The 20,289-nt window shown below is 52.3% G+C and overlaps 1 protein-coding gene across 21 annotated transcripts in view, besides 4 other annotated features; it reads right to left on the bottom strand.

Annotated features, from left to right (window-relative positions):
• KAZN (kazrin, periplakin interacting protein) overlaps window positions 1-20,289 on the bottom strand; it is a 1,225,220-nt gene that overhangs the window by 60,354 nt on the left and 1,144,577 nt on the right. For all 21 annotated transcript variants that reach the window (XM_011541074.4, XM_005245795.6, XM_011541080.4 and 18 more), the window contains 2 exons: window positions 13,531-13,701; window positions 1,410-1,599 (listed from right to left, as the gene is read on the bottom strand). In XM_011541074.4, the coding sequence (XP_011539376.1) occupies window positions 1,410-1,599; window positions 13,531-13,701 (361 nt within the window). The remainder of the gene's footprint in view (window positions 1-1,409; window positions 1,600-13,530; window positions 13,702-20,289) is intronic.
• Window positions 3,711-4,374: an enhancer, noted in NCBI's record as "OCT4-NANOG-H3K27ac-H3K4me1 hESC enhancer chr1:15379812-15380475 (GRCh37/hg19 assembly coordinates)". NCBI's record gives its function as "activates a minimal SCP1, AML or CMV promoter by ChIP-STARR-seq in naive H9 embryonic stem cells {active_cell/tissue: H9 hESC(naive)}" and the evidence as "EXISTENCE:reporter gene assay evidence [ECO:0000049][PMID:30033119]".
• Window positions 4,375-5,039: an enhancer, noted in NCBI's record as "OCT4-NANOG-H3K27ac-H3K4me1 hESC enhancer chr1:15379147-15379811 (GRCh37/hg19 assembly coordinates)". NCBI's record gives its function as "activates a minimal SCP1, AML or CMV promoter by ChIP-STARR-seq in naive H9 embryonic stem cells {active_cell/tissue: H9 hESC(naive)}" and the evidence as "EXISTENCE:reporter gene assay evidence [ECO:0000049][PMID:30033119]".
• Window positions 10,850-11,079: an enhancer, noted in NCBI's record as "active region_230". NCBI's record gives its function as "activates an Ori minimal core promoter by ATAC-STARR-seq in GM12878 lymphoblastoid cells {active_cell/tissue: GM12878}" and the evidence as "EXISTENCE:reporter gene assay evidence [ECO:0000049][PMID:35858748]".
• Window positions 19,302-19,361: a silencer, noted in NCBI's record as "silent region_294". NCBI's record gives its function as "represses an Ori minimal core promoter by ATAC-STARR-seq in GM12878 lymphoblastoid cells {active_cell/tissue: GM12878}" and the evidence as "EXISTENCE:reporter gene assay evidence [ECO:0000049][PMID:35858748]".

The raw sequence follows: 20,289 nt of genomic DNA, 5'->3' as shown, positions 1-20,289 counted from the left end.
AGGATGCTGGCCCCGAGCAGTTTTATTATAAGCTCTTCCACCTCTGAGTTGAGGCTTTGAAGGCCAGAGCTGCCCACGCTTACCCCAAAAAAGTCACACCACCTTGGGTCAGACAGTGAAGGGAGGGCTGCTATCCCACTCAATGGGAAGGGAAGACTCTGAATTTGCTTACTGTCTGGGTTCTCAAAGTCCCCTGTGTCACCTATCAATGATGACAACAATGGTGATGATGACGATGATAATGAGAATAGCAGCTAATATTTACCCAGCTCTGACCATGATCCCAGCCCCATTCCCGCAGTTTTACACATTTCATCTTCACGACAGCTCCATGAAGTAGGTAAAGGAAGTCTCAGCAAACGTCTTTAACGTACGTTGTGTGCTAAGAGCCTAATGCCCCTTTTACACATGAGGAAACTGAGGACCCTGGCCTAGGTCATGGGTCATGCCTCTAGTAAGCAGCAGGGCCAGAGTTGAACCCAGCAGTCTGAATCCAGGGCCTATGCCCCTTCGTCCCAATGACTCACCTACACTCCCCCATCTGTACCCTTGACAGGCAATAGCAGGGCCTGCTGGCATCTCCCTGATCAGCCTGCCAGGCCCTTGTAGGTCAGGGCTGTGTCTGACTCATCTCCTGCAGCTCCAACAGCCAGCCCAGCCTGCAGCCTTCACAGTGACCAGCTCTTACCTCTGGTGCATTGGCTGCTGCTGGATGCCTGTTCCCAACTTGCATCTATCACATAAGGGCAACTACTTGCAGAAGGGACAGAGAACAGAGCAAGGTGGCCTGCAGACGTGCAACAGGACAGCGAGAAGTTTGGAGCCTGTTCCATGGGCAGTAGGTGCAGATGCTGTCCACAGGCCAGACTTCCCTGCCGAGTGCCTGGAGCAAACACCTGTGACATTGACATCAGCCCCTCTTGGATGCCCTGTGATTGGCCAGAGCTGTCAATCAAGGAGTTCTGCTGCCTCCCCTGCCAAAGGATGCCCATGTGACTCTGATGTGGCCAATCAGAGTCTTTCTTTGGGATTTGCTATGGACACAGGGGGAAAGAGATAGTTTTTCTTTCTTAAGACTTGAGCTGTGAGGGTCTTAAACATCTGGAACTGCAGGGGACTATTTTACTTTCTTGCTGAAAGAGACAGCCTGAAGATGAGGCCAAAAGGAGGTGGGCAGAGCTAAGAGATGGAGAGACGGTCAGAGGGACCCAGATAGTGTTTGAACCTCTGGATCCAGCTATGCCTGCTGTCCATCTCTTAGATTTTTCAGTTACATGAGCCCAAGGTCTCTGTCCCACGCCCCCAAGCTGCTGTAGTACGAACAAAGCAGCTGCCTCTCCCACTGGGTCAGATGGCCTCCTGTGAAGCCCCTCGAAGCCGTGGTGGAGCCAGGCCAGGGCAGGACTCACCTTGCCGGTCCGCAGGGTGAGGGGGGTGTGAGTGGTAGAGAGTCTGTTGACTCTGCCGGATGGCTGCGGTCAGCGGGAGGTCCGCCTGCACCACCCACTCCTGGTTGCCATTGAGCACCGTCTCGCCCGGCATGGCGAGGGAATGCCGCTTGGGGACGTCCTTGGTCAGCGTAGCTAAGGACTGTTTGGCCTGGAGAGAGCAAGAAGACAGGAAGAAGAAGTCATGATCAAGGGGAACTCTTGGCCAGCTGCTTGGCACCACCCACCGCCATGGGGAGAAAGCCCGGATCCTCTGCACCGGGTATTGCTGGCTCGGCATCGAGCGTCAATTGGTAAGTCAAGCGCCTGCCCCGCAGCCGTGTGAGGGAGGAACTGTTGTTCTCCCCATTAGACAGCTGGAGGCGCGAAGGCACGGAGAGGTGTGGAGCCTGCCTTGGGATCCCACAGCTCAGAAGTGGCAGAGCCAGGATCAAATCCAGACAGAGACCAAGCTCCAAAGAACTGTGCCAGGGCCTGGCCACCTGGTCACACAACTCTAGGGGGCACTGCTTACATAAACATGGTCCCTCTTGGTCTCCCCATCTTATATAGTGGGATCCTAAAGTTCCGAATGGTGGAGTAATTTGCTCAAGGTCATACAACAAGTAGAAGAAGTGAAGTTTGAACCCAGTTCTGTCTGACTTTTGTCACATGGATGCATTTGTGTCAAGTTAACTCACCCGAGAGCTAACCTGGGGGTTACCCACCAAGAGCAAAGTGAGACCAGAAATAGAGGGGTTCCAAGAACACTCCTTTTTTTTGTTTTGTTTGGAGATGGAGTTTCACTCTGTTGCCCAGACTGGAGTGCAGTGGCTCAGCTCACTGCAACCTCCGCCTCCCGGGTTCAAGCAATTCTCCTGCCTCAACCTCACGTGTAGCTAGGATTACAGGCATGTGCCACCATGCCTGGCTAATTTTTGTATTTTTAGTAGAGATGGGGTTTCACCATGTTGGCCAGGCTGGTCTTGAACTCCTGACCTCAAGTGATCCACCTGCCTCGGCCTCCCAAAGTGCTGGGAATACAGGTGTGAGCCACTGCGCCCGGCCCCAGGAACACTCTTACCACCCATTCTTTTGGATTCTCCAGGGACTAGCCAGGATTCAAGTCCGATTGTAAGAAAAAGGTGTTTGGCTCCCATTAGTTTAACTCCTTGCAAGATTGAAGGCTGCTTCTTCTCCCTGTCACAAGGTTTTGCCAGAGAAGTGCCATGTGCACCTTCTGCAGAACTAGCAAGGAGATGGGCAGGTGCACGATCAGCCTACACGACTAGCTCCTTCTTGAATGCAGGCTGGGGACAGGCAGATCCTAAGCCCAGCTCTCAGGAGCCCACGCCAAGAACATGTAGGACAGGAGGGAGCCCAGGGACAAGTGTGAGGCTGAGCTGGGGCCGGGAGGCCGCCTCGACTGGCCACACAGGTCTTCCTTTCTCTGCCCAGTGTCTGAGACCTCTTTCAGCTGTGTTATCTCCCCTTAGAATATCTGGGGTTTTATTAGAAGTGATCTCAAATTCTTTTGGGGAGAAAAACGGCAAGTATTAGAAATGTGCTACTGCATATTATTTTCTTCTTCTTCTTCTTTTTTTTTTTTTTGAGATGGAGTCTCACTCTGTTGCCCAGGCCGGAGTGCAGTGGCGCGATCTCGGTTTACTGCAACCTCCACCTCCCATGCTCAAGCAATTCTCCTGCCTCAGTCTCCTGAGTAGCTGGGATTACAGGCGCCTGCCACCATGCCCAGCTAATTTTTTTGTATTTTTGGTAGAGACAGGGTCGCACTATGTTGGCCAGGCTGGTCTCAAACTCCTGACCTCAAGTGATCCACCCGCCTTGGCCTCTCAAAGTGTTAATGCACATTCTTTTCATCACAGTCATTTTCTACTTCTGATTGGCTCCGGGGGCTCATGACAGGGCAGAGGAGACAGGGAGAGGCCCAGGGGTCCCCTGCACTGAGGTTTTGGGTGAACATGGACGTTTCCGGGGTAGCTACAGATGGCAGGGCCACTGTGAGTGCTGGCTTTGCCTCTCATGTGAACACAGATTAACAACAACAAAAAAATCCATCTAATCTCTCCACAACCTTTCTAACTTTGCCCCAGGCCTGGAGTTCTTCCTGGCAGAGCAGGGATTCTTGAGAAAGGGTCCCACCAAGAAACAGACAGTCCTTGGCCTAATGCCTGATGCACTCTCATCACATCAACCAGCTGTATTATTTTAGACAAGTCACTCCCTCCTCTGAGCCTCAGTTTCCCCATCTGTATAGTGAAAAGCCTGGACCAAGTGATCTTCAGGGCTCCTTCCAGCTCGGACATCCTAGAAGTCTGTGAAATCACTTCCCTCCCACTGCCAGCTTCCAGGGAATAGAAATCCATACCGCAGAGGCTAAGCTGAGGGTGTCAGCCTTGCCCCGCCAACCTGGCTTGCCCCTGCTCTGGCCGAGAAAACCACCTGTGCTCTGCCACCCTCACGCGCTCTGTGCAACAGTGCTGGGTTGCAGGTAGGGAGTTCGGGATTATCTGTGCTCAACAGGTAAGAAACCAAAACTCAGAGAGGTTTAGTGACTTCTCCAGTGGGCACAACATCCAACCTGGGTACCAAACCCTGGTGTCTGACTGGGAGCACAGTGTGGTTTCCCTTAAGCCCACATTCCTGTGGGGCAAGAAAACAACCAGCGCAAATGATGTGGGCCAGTTCTGTCTGCTCACCAGAGTCCCCAGCACCCGGCCTGGGGCTCAGCACATCCAGGATGCATGCTGTAAGAACCTGCAGGATAAATGGAAGCAGGTCGCTGCTTCACAGAGCCTTTGTTGTGTTGATGGCCCAGGGAACAGCTCTGTTGTCCTACTGCAAGAACAATGGGGTAACTTTTTTGTTTAAGGAAGGAGTGAAGCTGGGTGTGTCTCGAGCCTCTGTACACCTGCAGCAGACCTAGCATCACGGAGACCCACACTTCCTGAACCACCACACCCAGCCCAGGCGAGTCGGTGGCGGCACCTGCCTTCCCTCCAGGTGTGCGTGCACACAGCCCCCTGGCCCTCCACACTGCTACACTCGCAGTCTTAGGGGGATGCCCCACTCCCTTGCTTCCACCTGCCCAGTCCATCTGGCTGCCCAGAAAGTGCGACTCGGGAGAAATAAGCACCCAGGCTGGTCTGCCATCATGCAGGAATGAACCCTCAGCTCCCCCTCCTGCAAACACTCCCAGCCACATGCCTAGGAAGCACAGGATTGTACAAGCCAGCCCCTGAAACAGGCAGCCCTTGGAGGGAGCACGGGAAGGAGTGAGGAAGAGGCCTGGGTGGGGTGGCTCTCCTGAACCCATCGGCTTCCTTCTCCCAGGCGGGGTCTCATCTCTGTCTGGGCCTGGGAGTGGCATCTTCCATCTCAGTAGGCAGCTTGACATCCTTGCTACCTGACAATTGGGAGGTCCCCTACGGTTGGTCCTTCAGAATGGGGTGGCTGTACCTGTGAGTTCTGAAGCACAAGGATAAACTGTCCACTCTGCCCACTCAGGATTGTAAGCTTCCAAGGCAGAGCTACAATGGAGAGGAACTGCAGATGACGCGTGTGAAGTCTCATCTAAAATACATGCACCTGCTTTCACACCCACGTATCCACACACATGCACATACACACATATACACACATACACACATGCACACACATACACATGCAATACACACATGCATACACACACATATACACATGTATATGCACTGATATGGTTTGGCTGTGTCCCCATCCAAATCTCATCTTGAATTATAAGCTCCCATAATCCCCACGTGTCATGGGAGGGACCTAGTGGGAGGTAATTGAATCATAGGGACAGGTTTTTCCCGTGCTGTTCTTGTGACAGTGAATAAGTCTCCTGAGATCTGACGGTTTTATAAAAGGCAGTTCCCCTGCACATGCTCTCTCGCCTGCCACCATGTAAGACGTGCCTTTGCTCCTCCTTCACCTTTCACTATGATTGTGAGGCCTCCCCAGCCATGTGGAACTGTGAGTCCATTAAGCCTCCCTTTCTTTAAAAATTACCCAGTCTCGGGTATGTCTTTATCAGCAGCATGAGAAGAGACTAACACCACACACACACACATACACACACGTACACACACACATGCATTAGATCCTCTCCTGTGGCAATTGACACATTTCTCTGACTAATCTCTTCCACTAAATGCAATTTAATGCTGGGAACTCCCCTTGGGTTCTGACTCTTCTCTTCTCCTCTCTGAGCCTCCAGCCTCTTCCAAGCACTCAGAACTTGGAACGTCAAGCTCCTGGGAATTGTTAACTTGACACAAATGCATCCATTTGACAAAAGTCAGACAGAACTAGTTTCAAACTCCATTTCTCCCACTTAACTTGCTGTGTAACCTTGAGCAAATTACTCCACCATTCTGAACTTCAAGGTCCCACAATATAAGATGGTGAAAACAAGAGGGACCATGTTTATGTAAGCAGCACCCTCTGGAGTTGTGTGATGAGGTGGCCAGGCCCTGGCACAGTTCTTTGGAGCTTGGGCTCTGTCTGGATTTGGTTCTGGCTCTGCCACTCTGAGCTGTGGGATCCCAAGGTAGGCTCCACACCTCTCCGTGCCTTCGTTCCTCCAGCTGTCTAACGGGGATAATGACAGTTCCTCCCTCACATGGTTGCTGGGAAAGTGCTTGGTCCAGGGTAAAAATACCCAACAAATATTAGCGATTGTTATTAAAGAGTCTCTATTTCACAAGCAGGGATGATGTGAGGAGTAATTCACACCAGGGTCAAGGATCCGGTCTGGCCCACTGTCTCAGAGCAGCCATAGTGCTCAGTTAGGATTACTTATGCGCTCCCTGAGCCTGGGCAGTGAGACCCATGAGGCAGGAAGGGGAGATGGCAGCACAGGGCCCTGCCCTCACCTGCCTTTTGGCTGGGGCCAATGGCAGTTCCTGTTAACCAGGAGGGCCTGAGGTTCCGCTGATCCGGAGGCCACAGTGCACCCATCACATCTCCCACATCAGAGAGCAAGTCTGGCCCTGCAGGCATGCTGTGCCCAGAAACCGAATCCTCTACCAGGTCCTTCAGCAGATGAGTGCTCGTCTAGGGAATGTTTCTCTGGGGTAAAGACTGGGAGGATCCCGAGGCAGGAGCCTCTGAGCAGACATCGGAAGGCTGGTGCTCCTGTGCGGATGGCACACTGCGCCAAACGGGCACTGAGCGGGCACAAGGCCACCTTCTTCCCGTGCTTCATAAACACACTCTGTGGCACAGCTAAGTTCTTCTCCTTGGGGGGAAGCCGGCTGGGACCCTCTTTCACAGATCTCAGGGGTACGGGTGGGAGCAGGTCCAGCAGGGAGGCACCGGTGTGAGCTGATGAGGCAAATATGGGTCACAACACCAAGGACCAATGACTAAGGACCAAAGACCAAGGACCAATGCAGGCTCGGCTGTGGAGGGGAGGCTCCTGTGGGGGCAACGACAGGCGTGGCTCAGGTGGGCTCGGGATTGGGCAGACCCTGCCCTCATGCAGGGCGGCAGGCCCCCCACCACTCTGGGTTCAGACCCAGCCTAGGAACTGGCTTGGCAAGGGCTGGTCCAAATGGTCCAAGAAGGTGGTGGCCAGGGGCCTGAAGGTGGCACATTTGGGGCAGACTGCTTTCGTTGCAGCTGAGAACAGGCACAAGGGACATAGACTCAGAGCGTGGCCATTAAAAATAAACCTGAGGCTTGGCCAAGCCCTCCTGCTTCTCCGCCCGCTCATCCCTCACAGTCCCTGCCTCTCGTCTGGGCCTGTGGTGGCTGTCGTTTTTACAGATGAGGAAACTGAGGCAGGAAAAGGTTAAAGGTGACATGTGCGAGGTCAAATACTGATGAGTGGAACAGGCATGAGAATCCACGCCTCTTCCTCCCCAGTGGGGTCTGAGGACAGGGTGGCTCTAGAGCAACCTCAGCACAGAGCTGTGAACGCTGACCGAGTTCTGCAGCGTGCCTGCCTGATTCACCCACTGCCTCACTTCCCTGCACTGTCACTCTAGGGGGAAGGTTCTATTCTATTCTATTCTATTCTATTCTATTCTATTCTATTCTATTCTATTCTATTCTATTCCATTCTATTCTATTATTCTATTGAGATGGAGACCTACTCTACTACTCTACTCTACTCTACTCTACTGTACTCTACTGTACTCTACTCTACTCTACCCTACCCTACCCTACCCTACCCTACCCTACCCTACCCTACTCTACTCTGATGGAGTCTCACTCTGTCATCCAGGCTGGAGGGCAATGGTGTGATCTCAGCTCACTGCAACCCTCCTGGGTTCAAGCGATTCTCCTGCCTCAGCCTCCAGAGTAGCTGGGATTACAGGCGCCTGCCATCATGCCTGGCTAATTTTTGTATTTTTAGTAGAGACGGGTTTCACCATGTTGGCCAACCTAGTCTTGAACTCCTGACCTCAGGTGATCCACCTGCCTCGGCCTCCCCAAAGTGCTGGGATTACAGGTGTGTGCCACCACACCTGGCCTATAGTTCTGATTTTATACAGGAGGAAACTGAGGCTCAGAAAGGTTAAGTCCCTTGTCAAGGGTCACACAGACAGAAAATAACAGGACCCAAACTGGGACTCTGCTAGACTCAAACAGCCCAGGCCCAGACAGATAGGAACGTCTGATTCTTGCAAAATGTCCTACTTGATGGAGGGGTGCTTCCAGTCTGGGGTGATTCTGCACTCCAGGGGACATCTGGCCATGTCTGGAGTCTACTGCTGTGACACTGGGGGGCTGGGGTGGAGGGGGTGCTGCTGGCATCTGGTGGGTGGAGGCCAGGGAAGCTGCCACACACCCTACAGAGCACAGGGCAGCCCCACCACTGTTATGTGGCCCCAAACGTCTATGGTGCCCTTGTTTACAGAGAGCACCGTAAACTGAAGAGCATTTCCCGTGCTGGAGAAGCCGCGCTCGTCAGCAGCGAGGTCCGTGTGAGCCGGGCTCCCAGGGACAGGACCAGTGTGTGGGGGATGCCCATGGTCTCAGGAGCAGGCAGCCCTGTCTCCCAGCCCCACATGTGACTAGGGAGGCTGGTGGGAAAGGCCTGTGGACTGAGGGAAGGCTGGTAAGGGAGCTGCCTCCTTCAGGCCATGGCTGGACTCCCGTCAAAAGCCTCCCGGCAAAGCCGTCACCCCATGGAGTACAGGATCGCCTGATCTCCAGCTCCGAAACCGTAAGAATACAGACCTCACTGGAGTGACTGCGCATGAAGACGGGGTGCTTCTTGGGGAGATGCAACTGTTCTGGAATTAGACAGCAGTGGTGGCTGCACAATGTTGTCAGCATGCTAAAAACCACTGAACGGCATGACCAACGACCCAGGACCAACGACCCAGGACCAACGACCCAGGACCAACGACCAAGGACCAACGACCCAGGACCAACGACCCAGCACCAACAACCCAGGACCAACGACTCAGGACCAATGACCAAGGATCAACGACCCAGGATCGACGACCCAGGATCGACGACCCAGGATCGACGACCCATGACCAACGACCCAGGACCAACGACCAAGGATCAACGACCCAGGACCAACGACCCAGGACCAGCGACCCAGGACCGACGACCCAGGACCGACGACCCAGGACCGACGACCCAGGACCAGCGACCCAGGACCGACGACCCAGGACCAACGACCAAGGATCAACGACCCAGGACCAACAACCAAGGATCAACGCTGGCTCTGGCCATGGAGGGGAGGCTCCTGCGGGGGCAACGGTAGGCTCATGTGGGCTCGGGCCTTGACATTCTAAGTTGATAAACAATATTTTACACATACACACACACACACACATACACACACATGCGGTCCCTTGGGGCCAGTGTGGTTACAGAGAAGTTGCTGTGTGGGTGGTAATGCCTGGTTCAATCAGGATTTAACAGGAAATGCCCCCAGCAAGGGTGGATGGCTGGGCAGGCCTCAGGGTGCCCACCTTCATTGCTAAATGCCAATAGAGGGCTTTGCTTCTTGGGAAACGTCTGCAGAAGCAAATGTCTTTTTGGCTTTTCCCCAAGTGAAGCAGCGAAGAGGGTGTGTGGGGCGGCCCAGAGTTGGCTCCTCAGGACATGGGGGGAGGGACGATGCCTGGATCCTGAGGGGCTGCTCACCCCTCACTTGGCACCAGCCTGGGCTCTTTCCCCAATACCTGCTTTCCCAGTGGCCTCAGTGTCACTGGCAGGTGTGAGCTTTGCCACCTCTGTGGCAGCACCTCAGGGTCACTTAAGAAACCGCCCAGCACCAGCAGCTACAGCCAGGACCCCTGGGTAAGGGGCAAGTAAGTGGCCCAAGATGGGCCACAGGGCACACTGCATGGACCTCACAGAGGTAAGATTTCATCAGAAGACAAAAGGGACATGTTCGTCCCCCAGCTGCAGGGGCTGCTGAGTGCACCATCCCCCCGGGCCTGGCTCCCCACCTCCGCAGCTGGGGGGCTTCTTTTTTTTTTGAGATGGGGTTTCGCTCTGTTGCCCAGGCTGGAGTGCAGTGGTGCGATTTTGGCTCAGTGCAACCTCTGCCTTCTGGGTTCAAGCGATTGTCCTGCCTCAGCCTCCCGAGGAGCTGGGATTACAGCTGCGTGCCACCACATCTAGCTGATTTTTGTATTTTCAGTTGAATCAGGGTTTCGCCATGTTGGCCAGGGTGGTCTCAAACTCCTGACCTCAAGTCATCTGCCCGCTTTGGCCTCCCAAAGCCAAAAGATTACAGGCACGAGACACCACGCCCGGCCTGCAGCTGCCGTGGCTTCTGCCATTGCTAAGCTGCGCCCTCCACCTCCCCACTGCACGTGTGGACCCTGACTTCCTTCCAACCCACCCTCTATGCTTCCACTGGCAGAGCAGAGCTGCTTTCTGTTGCTTGCAACCCAGGACTTAAGGCACCCCCCGAGGAAGGGTCAGCTGTGCAGTGGGGGAGCTGGGCCTGCAGGCAACACAGCCTGGCGGTGAAACTTTAGGCATGGCGGGCAATGGAGGGAACCTGCAGTCAGGTGGACACCCCAACAAGACTGGGGTCATCACAGCTCCTCGTGAAGCCCCTTCTCTCTGCCTCCAAGCCCTGGGTAGACACTGCATGTGCTGTTAACATGAACATAAACCAATCAACCTGAGTTGCCAACATTCACACGGGCAGATGCATCTGATGCCTGCCAGAAGGAGGCCAGAAGCTGAGTTTTCTTGGCCAGAGCGGAAACAGGCTGAGTGTCCAGACGCAGTGGGAGTGGAAGCCAGGGTGAGCTGGTTTCTAGGCCAGAAAGACCCAGGGAGTCCTCGGATGCCTAAGGCCAGGACTCCAAGGAAGGAAGACATATCTGTCTGTCCACAAGGCATGAGAAAGACCTGGGAGAACAGGGGCCTTTTCCTGGCCTGCAAGTTCAAAGGTTTCTTTCTGGGCTGCACGCAGCAGCAGGGCCTCCAGTATTATCAACCCCACTGGTGGGAACCCCCTGGACCCCAGAAGTCCCTGCAGCCGCAGCTTTTTCCTGCCCAGCAGTTCTCACCACTAGGGGTCAGCATTGGACAAGGAGACCTAGGCTAGGCCCACGGATCCTGCCCCGGCCTGTCCTGGGGCCTGGCCCTTAGTAAACCATCCTGCCGTGGTTTTACCACGTCCAGGAATCCAGGCCCGGTGCCAAATGCTTCTCCTGCTTTATTTCTTGGAAATCCTCACAAGAGCCCCACAAAGCACAGTCCACTCTTGAACAACGTGGGTTTGGACGGCATGGGTGCGTGGGTCTGATTATCGGCGGATTTTCTTCTACCTCCGTCACCCCGAGACAGCAAAGCCAATCCTTCCTCTCCCTCCTCCTCCTCAGCCACTCAGCGTGAAGACAACGAGGATGAAGACCTTGATGATGATCCTCTTCTTCCACTTAATTAATAGCAAATATATTTTCTCTTCCTTATGATTCTCTTTTTTTTTTGAGACGGAGTCTTGCTCTGTTGCCCAGGCTGGAGTGCAGCGGCTTGACCTTGGCTCACTGCAACCTCCGCCTCCCGGGTTCAAACGATTCTCCTGTCTCAGCCTCCCGAGTAACTGGGATTACAGGCATCCACCGCCATGTCTGGCTAATTTTTGTATTTTTAGTAGAGACAAGGTTACACCGTGTTAGCCAGGCTGGTCTCGAACTCCTGACCTCAGGTGATCCACCCTCCTCGGTCTCCCAAAGTGCTGCGATTACAGGCATGAGCCACCACGTCCGGCCTGATTCTCTTAATAACATTTTCTTTGCTCTAGCTTACTTTATTCAAAGAATACTGATATGGTTGGCTCTGGGTCCCCAGCCAAATCTCATCTCGAATTGTAATCCCCACGTGTCAAGGGAAGGACCAGGTGGAGGTAAGTGGATAATGGCGCTGGTTTCCCCTATGCTGTTCTCGTGATAGTGATAGAATGCTAACGAGATCTGATGGTTCATAAGCGTGTGGTAGTTCCTCTGCATTCATTCTCCCTCCTGCCATCCTGTAAAGAAGGTGCCTTGTTTCTCCTTTGCCTTCCGCCATGATTATGAGTTTCTGAGGCATCCCCAGCCATTCGGAACTGTGAGTCAATTAAACCTCTTTCCTTTATAAATTACCCAGTCTCAGCTATTTCTTTATAGCAGTGTAGGAATGAACTAATACAAAGACAGTACACGACACAGTGAACACACAAAAGATGTGCTCGCTGACTGTTCTTAGTAAGGCTTCTGGTTAACAGTGGGCTACTAGAAGTTATCTTCTAGGGGAGTCAAAAGTTATACATGGATTTAGCTGCGCAGGGGATCGGCACCCCTAAGCCCTGCGTTGTTTAAGGGTCAACTACATATGCCATTATCTCTGTTTTGAGTTGATGGATATGGAGTCCAGAGAGGTGAAGGCTCCTGCCCAAAGTCACACAGCTGGGAAGCACCTGGGGCTGGATTCGAACCCAGATCACATGGCTGTAACCACACCGTTAGCTGGCATCAGCACTCTGCAGGACGACAAATCCTCTAAGACTTACGTCCTCCCCCTTCCCCTACTCTAGCCACAAGCTCCCTGGATCTGCCCAGCCACCCTGTGGGGAAGGTAGGGTGGGATTAAGACTCCACTCCCAGCCCAGTAACAAGTAAAAGGCACTGAAGCCCAGAACAGTTGAGTGGGCAGCCCAAGGTCACACAGGAGCAGGCAGAACAGACCTCCAGGGCTCTCTCTCCCGACCCGGACCCTCTGTCCCCACACACAAAGGGTACGCATCTCCTGGGAAAACAAAGTGTCTGGAAGTATTTTGAGGGTTTGGTTTGGGTTAGGAAAAAATTATTTGTTTCCTTAATGACCCAAGTAAGACATTTTTGCTGCAAAGACATTTGAAAAGAGGCCAATAAACAAACAAAGAAATAAATAAAAGTTGCTACCACTCTGAGAGAATGAACATTAATATTTCCATGTATTTCCTCCCAAATATTTTCCTAAGCAAATATGTATATTTTAAACAAAAAAAATTTTTTTTCCTTTCCTTTTTTTTTTTTTGTTTGAGACAGGGTCTCACTGTCGCCCAGGCTGGGGTGCAGTGGCTCACTGCAGCCTTACCTCCAGGGCTCAGGCAATCCTTTTGCCTCAGCCACCGGTCTAGTTGGGACTACAGGCATGTACCAGGCCTGGCTAATTTTTTGGTAGAGATAGGGTTTTGCCATGTTGCCCAGGCTGGTCTCAAGCTGCTGGGCTCAAATACGATCCACCTGCCCTGGTCTCCTAAACTGCTGGGATTACAGGCATGAGCCACTGCACTAGGCCTTTTTTTCCTAATAGTAGGCTGGGGTGTGTGGAGGAGTGAGTGGTTTCCCAGCGTCTCCACACTCCCTGGGCCCAAGGCAGGTGGATAAAAGGCTGGCCCAGTCTCTGGGGGCATGGTCTTGGAGGGAAACTTATGATGCATTGCAGAAAGCCCCCTCCCGCGGCGGGCCCTGCCCCCTGCTTGTGTTCTGCTCTGCCCCACCCACCCCACCCTAGGTCTCCGATGTGAGTCGGTGCCAGACGTCCCGGCTCCCAGCACGGCACTGCTAGCAGATGCCAGGCCCACCTGGGTGGGGAGGGTTCTCACCATGGCCAGCTCGGCCTCCAGCTCCTTCATCCGGTTGTCCTTGAGGTCCAGCTGGGAGCGCAGTGCCGTGGCGTGGTCTGTGGCCTCCTTGGCTTGGCGCCGCAGCTCCCACTTCTCACGCTCCAGCAGGTCCTTCTCCTTGGCCAGCGCTTTGACCGCATCCTCGCTCTCCTGTGGGTGGGAGAGGGAGAGAGCACCGTGGGTGTTACAGCCAGGCTCCTCCTGGCCCAGGGATGCCTAGAGGGGGCCTAACTCCTAGATGGAAAAAGAAGTGGGGTCACGAGGTCAGGAGATTGAGACCATCCTGGCTAACATGGTGAAACCCCGTCTCTACTAAAAACACAAAAAAATTAGCCAGGCATGGTGGCGGGCACCTGTAGTCCCAGCTACTCGGGAGGCTGAGGCAGGAGAATGGCAGAACCTGGGAGGTGGAGCTTGCAGTGAGCCGAGATCGCACCACTGCACTCCAGCCTGGGCGACAGAGCGAGACTCTGTCTCAAAAAAAAAAAAAAAAAAAAAAAAAAAAGAAGTGGGGAGGCCCCATGACATGTGGCCAGGAGCTCTGGCTCTGTGGTGGGAAAGCCGTGGGCACGAACTCCAGCTCTGCCACAAACTAGCTGGAAGACTGGAACAGAGACGAACCCAGTAGACACTCATTAAACCCTTTTTTTGCTGCATGAATGAGTAAGTTGGCAAATGACTGCTTTGGGGAAGTCATTCTACCTCATCGAGTCTGGGTTCCCCTTATGTAAAATGGGGCAGGAGTCAATCCTACTTGTTTCAAAGAATTCTAAAGATTGAATGACTTCACGTGCGGGAAATACTTAACACAGTCTGACAGAAGTTAGGGTGCAATAGTTGTTCTGGGGCTTTGTTCTGTTTGGTCAATTGTGTTCATCACAGGGAAACAGGGTCAACAGTAAGGAGGCACCAGCGACCCCAATTGTCTGGACTGCCACAAGGTCCGGCCACCACTCCACAGGGTCACAGCCTGTGAGAGAAACAGTTGCTGTGTCCTGAATGCAGCACAGTCCTCAGCCGCTTGCCCCAGCCCCTCCCCAGGCTGGCCCTCCTGCATGAGCTGTTTTCTGTGATTGTCCAGGGAAGGGCCAGGCCCCGGCTGTGCCAGTCCCCAGAGCAGAGCCAGCAGGGAAGGAACAGACAGCTGAATCGAGGCTGTGACCTCTGTTGGCCGGAGCAAAGTTTCAGAACAACAGGCGTCCTTTTGAGAAGGACAGTCCCAGCGGGGAGCTCTACCCATCCACCCAGCCACCATCTTCCCATTCACCAAATCAAAAGCAAATCCAAGGTCTCCGTGTGGCCTGGGACCGTGGAGAGAGGCCACCATCCTGCCTTGTCTGACAAACCTGTCTCTGAAGGCCTCACTTCCAGATGGTGAGAGACAGGGAGGCTGAGGGAGAACGTGGCCTTTTCTCTGTGGCTGTCAGAGCTGTAGCTATGGCCTTGGTTCTGGAGACAGAGGGAGAACCTGGGCCAAATCCTGGCTTTGCAATGACTGCTGTGAGTCATCCCTGCCTCAGTTTCCCCATCTGTAACCAGGGGATAATACCACATATACTTTGGGGCGTTTGTGTGGGTCTGCATGAAGGAATCCACCTGGAGAGCTCTGCACAGGACTGGGCTCCCAGCAGGCACCTGCTCGCCTCACTCAGATCCCTGCTCAATTGTCTCCTCCTCTGAGAAGCCTTCCCTGACCACCCACGTAAGAAAGAAGCCCCAGGCCCTCTCTAACCTGTTTTCTTTATTTGAAGCTGATACTGGTCTGTTATTCAACCAATATTTGTGGATATTTGTCTGGTACAAACCAGACAAAAATCCCTGCACTCGTGGAGCTTATAGTGAAAAATTCTGCTACAGTGTAGAAACTGACCACTGGGGTAAGGGTTGTCCCTGAGAACCCGCTGGTGTACAAGAGGCTGCTTATAAAATGTCCCTGAATTAGGAGGAAGCCCCACTAGGTCCCTCAGGATCATTTTTGTCTCATCGCAGTCACTGGTTCACACTACTACTCACGAACAGACCAAGGGCTCTAGGCCGGGTGGGAAGGCCTGTAGGTGCTTTCAAGTTTTGGACTCCCACCTTCTTGGGGTCATATTCCGCGGCAGCAGGAGAGCTGGGCTCAGCAGCAACTGTCACAGAACGTTCTGTACAGTGCTAAGGCTTTTAGGTGCATTATTTAAATCTCACAACCACCCCTGAGGCAGGGACTATGATTATCCCTATGTCACAGATGAGCAAACTGAGGCCCAGAGAGGTAAAACAACTTCGCCAGCTCATAGACAGTGTGGTAGAGGCCTCAATCCCTGCTGGTACCTGAGGCAGGAAAGGAACTGAAAGGAGACGCCTGAGAGGTCTGGAACTGGAAGGGGGTTGGGGGTGGTGGGAATTTCTGAGGGTGGGATTTGGCCAAGACCTCATGGGGCCTTGGATGACAGGCCTGGGAGCTGAGGTTCTTTGGGGCTGCCAGCACTTGGGGATCACATGGACATAAGAGGGGAGTGTGGCCGGGCACAGTGGCTCATGCCTGTAGTCCCAGTATTTTGGGAGGCTGAGGTGGATGGATCACCTGAGGTCGAGAGTTCGAGACCAGCCTGACCAACATGGAGAAGCCCTGCCTCTACTAAAAATACAAAGTTAGCTGGGCGTGGTGGTGCATGCCTGTAATCCCAGCTACTCGGGAGGCTGAGGCAGGAGAATCGCTTGAACCTGGGAGGCGGAGGTTGCAGTGAGCCGAGATCCCGCCATTGCACTCCAACCCGGGCAATAAGAGCAAAACTCCATCTCAAAAAAACAAAAAAAAAAAAAAAGAAAAAAAATGCGGAGAGTAGAATACAGAGGGGAGAGGAGGGGCTGCAGGGGCATGAAGGTCTGGCTAGGAGCCGGGTGCGGTGGCTCATGCCTGTAATCCCAGCACTTTGGGAGGTGGAGGAGGGCAGATCACTTGAGGTCAGGAGCTCGAGACCAGCCTGGCCAACATGGTGAAACCCCATCTCTACTAAAAAAAAAAAAAAAATACAAAAATTCGCCAGGTGTGGTGGCATGCGCTTGTATTCTCAGCTACTCCAGAGGCTGAGGCACGAGAATCGCTTGAACTCAGGAGGCAGAAGTTGCAGTGAGTGGAGATCATGCCACTGCACTCCAGCCTGGGCAACAGAGTGAAACTCCATCTCAAAAAAAATAAAAAAAACAAAAAACAAAAAAAGTCTGGCTGGGGAGGTGACAGTGGTGAGATGAAAGTGGCCTGTTTCCCTTCCATCTGCAGTCACGTGACAGGGAAAGTGCATTTGGCACAGCTTTCAGAAATGTTGCAGTTTTGCCACATTCTGTTTTTTGTTTGTTTGTTTTTGTTTCCTTTTTTTTTTTTAACTTTTTTGAGATGGAGTCTTGCTCTGTCACCCAAGCTGGAGTGTAGTGGTGCGATCTTGGCTGACTGCAACCTCTGCATCCCGGGTCCAAGCAATTCTCCTGCCTCAGCCTCCCGAGTAGCTGGGACTACAGGCGGACAACACCACATCCAGATAATTTTTGTATTTTTAGTAGAGGCAGGCTTTTGTCATGTTGGCCAGGCTGGTGTTGGACTCCTGACCTCAGGTGATCTGTCTGCCTCAGCCTCCCTAAGTGCTAGGATTACAGGCATGAGCCACCATGCTGGGTCATCGGCCACATTCTGGACAGGCCAAGACCCCTCCTTTCTCAGCAGCCTTGTTCCTGTGCCATCCCCCGACTCCCAGTAGCTCAGGGCCTGGGGTCCTTCCTGCTGCCTGCTCCAGTGGAGTCCTACAGGAGTCTGCTGGAGAAGTTGGGTGGGCCATGGCAGACTAAGCGGGCACAGTTGCGTGGGCGAGGGAACCTGAGGGTTCCAGTCATCCTGTTCCAGGGGGACATTTATCATGCACATAAAATGCAAATCATTTTTGGTAACCAGCTGCAAGATCTTGGAAGAGATGAAATAAAACCAGGACTTGTGGCTTCAGTTTTGCCAAACTGGCTCTAAACATGTGTCCTTGGGTCAGTCACTTGACCCTTGCGGACCTCAGTCTTCCCACCTGTAAAATGGGGCTGGACCCAACAATGACTAAAATATTGTTTTAATGTTGCTATTCCACCGATCTACAGGCGCGACTCTCTCCACTTCTAATATTCATATCTTAGTATTAAGGTATTAATTTTTTTAAAATCAGTATTTTCCAAAGTTCATTTTTCTGAATGAATCTGAAGGGCATTATGAAGCCAATCAATAAAAGTGGCACTTGCTGCTCAGCTGTAGCTACAGGGAGCTGCCCCCGGCAGTCATAGCCACAAGGCTTCTATTGAGTAGCGTCAACCCCACCCCAGCGGCTGGTCAGACTTGGGGGATGCCCCTAGTCACCTATGTCTTAAAAAATGACACGGTGCTCTCCATGGGAATTTTATTGCCAAATATGAGATGGATGTTACACTTTGAGATGGATATGTTAATTACTCTGATCTGATAACTATACATTCCATGGATCCAAACATCACTATGTACCCCATTAAAATGTATCATTTTTGCCCAAATAATTTTAAAAAACAAATTTGATATATCATGAAAAGACACAGAGAAGCACTGGTATGAAATGCTAGTTTGGCCACTGAAATAGCCAGCACTCTACCCATGGTTCACAGGGACAGCTGTGACCTCCTCTCTGTGGTCGGCCTTGGGTTGTTGAAAATGGCAAACAGTGGGACTCATTCCTTCGTTCCTCTGAACATGCACTGAGTGGTGTGGGGACGGTGGCCCAGGCCAGGCCCAGTCCTATGAGCTCTGGGGCTGGGGCTCTGGGACTAGACCTCCTGGGTTTGCATCCTGCCTCTACCCCTTTCCATAATCGTGTGGCCCTCGGCCTGAGACTTTACCTAAGTCTCAGTTTTCACCTGTTAAATGGGGGGAATGGGGACAATCACTCCTCGAAGGATTGCTATTAAAATAGCAAATGTGAAGAGATGAGGGCAGTGCCTGTGCACGGTAGGTGCACAATAAACATCTGCTACTGGTAATATCACATTCATGTCTGTATACAGTAGGTGCACAATAAACGTCTGCTGTTGGTAATAGCACATTCGTGTCTGTATACAGTAGATGCACAATAAACATCTGCTACTGGTAATATCACATTCATGTCTGTATACAGTAGGTGCACAATAAACGTCTGCTGTTGGTAATAGCACATTCGTGTCTGTATACAGTAGGTGCACAATAAACATCTGCTACTGGTAATATCACATTCATGTCTGTATACAGTAGGTGCACAATAAACGTCTGCTGTTGGTAATAGCACATTCATGTCTGTATATAGTAGGTGCACAATAAATGTCTGCTGTTGGTAATAGCACATTCATGTCTGTATACAGCAGGTGCACAATAAACATCTGCTATTGGTACTGTCACGGTCATGCCTTATACAGTAGGTGCACAATAAATGTCTGTTACTTGTCATGTTCATGCCTTAAACAGTAGTTGCACAATAAACATCTGCTATTGGTAACACCATGTTCATGCCTGTATATAGTAGGTGCACAATAAACATTGGATATTGGTAATATCACATTCATGCCTGTATACAGTAGGTGCACAATAAACGTCTGCTATTGGTAATACCATGTTCATGCCTGTATACAGCAGATGCACAACAAACGTCTGGTATTAGTAATACCATGTTCATGCCTGTATACAGTAGGTGCACAATAAACATTTGCTATAGGTAATACTGTGTTCATGCCAGCTCCTGCTGAGGTGGCCTCTGAAGGCAGCCATCACATCAGTCCCTGCCAGGATGATTACCTGGTAACAGCGCCATCTTTTGGATCCTCTTGGACTCTGCTCAGCACCCTCTTGCTTTTTTTTTTCTTTCTTTTCTTTTTTTGAGATAAGGTCTCATTCTGTTGCCCAGGCTGGAGTGCAGTGGCACAATCTGGGCTCACTGCCACCTCAACCTCCCTGGCTCAAGCAATCCTCCTGCTTCAGCCTCCCAAGTAGCTGGGACTACAGGCGTGTGCCACCCTGCCCCACTAATTTTTAAAATTTTTTGTAGAGATGGAGGTCTCACTCTGTTGTCCAGGCTGGTCTTGAACTCCTGGGCTCAAGCGATCCTCCCACCTTGGCTTCTCAGAGTGCTGGGATTACAGGTGTGAGCCACCGTAACTGGCTGCTTTTCTAAATCCTGATCTGTCCTCCTTCAGGGCATGTGTTCTCAGGGAGCTCTTTCTTCTAGCTCCTGATTCCTGGGTCCTCTGAGACCCTCTGTCCCTCCCAGAAGGACTTGTCTGGGTTCCTTTCTGCACAGGTCTTGCCTCTCCACCCCATTCCCAGAAACCAGACCTACGACTGGGGTCTGTGTGGGACCAGCCACAGCTCCAATCCTGCCCACCCGGGGCCTTCGTTTCCTTCTCCGGGTTTGCCAGTGAGACCAACAACAGGGAGTGGCAGGTGAGGGGCCGGCAGAGGGGCTTTGAAATCCACTGTGGAATTTTCATGATCAAATGGCTGACTCTGAATCCCCGAAAGCAATAATAATGATAATGATAATAATAATGGTAGCAGGCATATGCCCCTACCCCCCTTGCTTTCCATGCCCCGGGAACCTCAGGTCTGACAGCACTGGGCTGTGAGTAGTTGCAATCTTCATCCTGCTTTACAGATGTGAAGGCTGAGACCGGGGAGAGTCAGCTGTTTGCCCGAGCCACCCCCATAGCGAGTGCAGAGGTGAGATGCTAACC

This window comes from Homo sapiens, chromosome 1, assembly GCF_000001405.40.
Source record: "Homo sapiens chromosome 1, GRCh38.p14 Primary Assembly".
NCBI classification, from domain to species: Eukaryota; Metazoa; Chordata; class Mammalia; order Primates; family Hominidae; genus Homo; species Homo sapiens.
The sequence above is the reverse complement of the archived record's forward strand: the minus strand, read 5'-3'. Positions and strand labels throughout refer to the sequence as shown.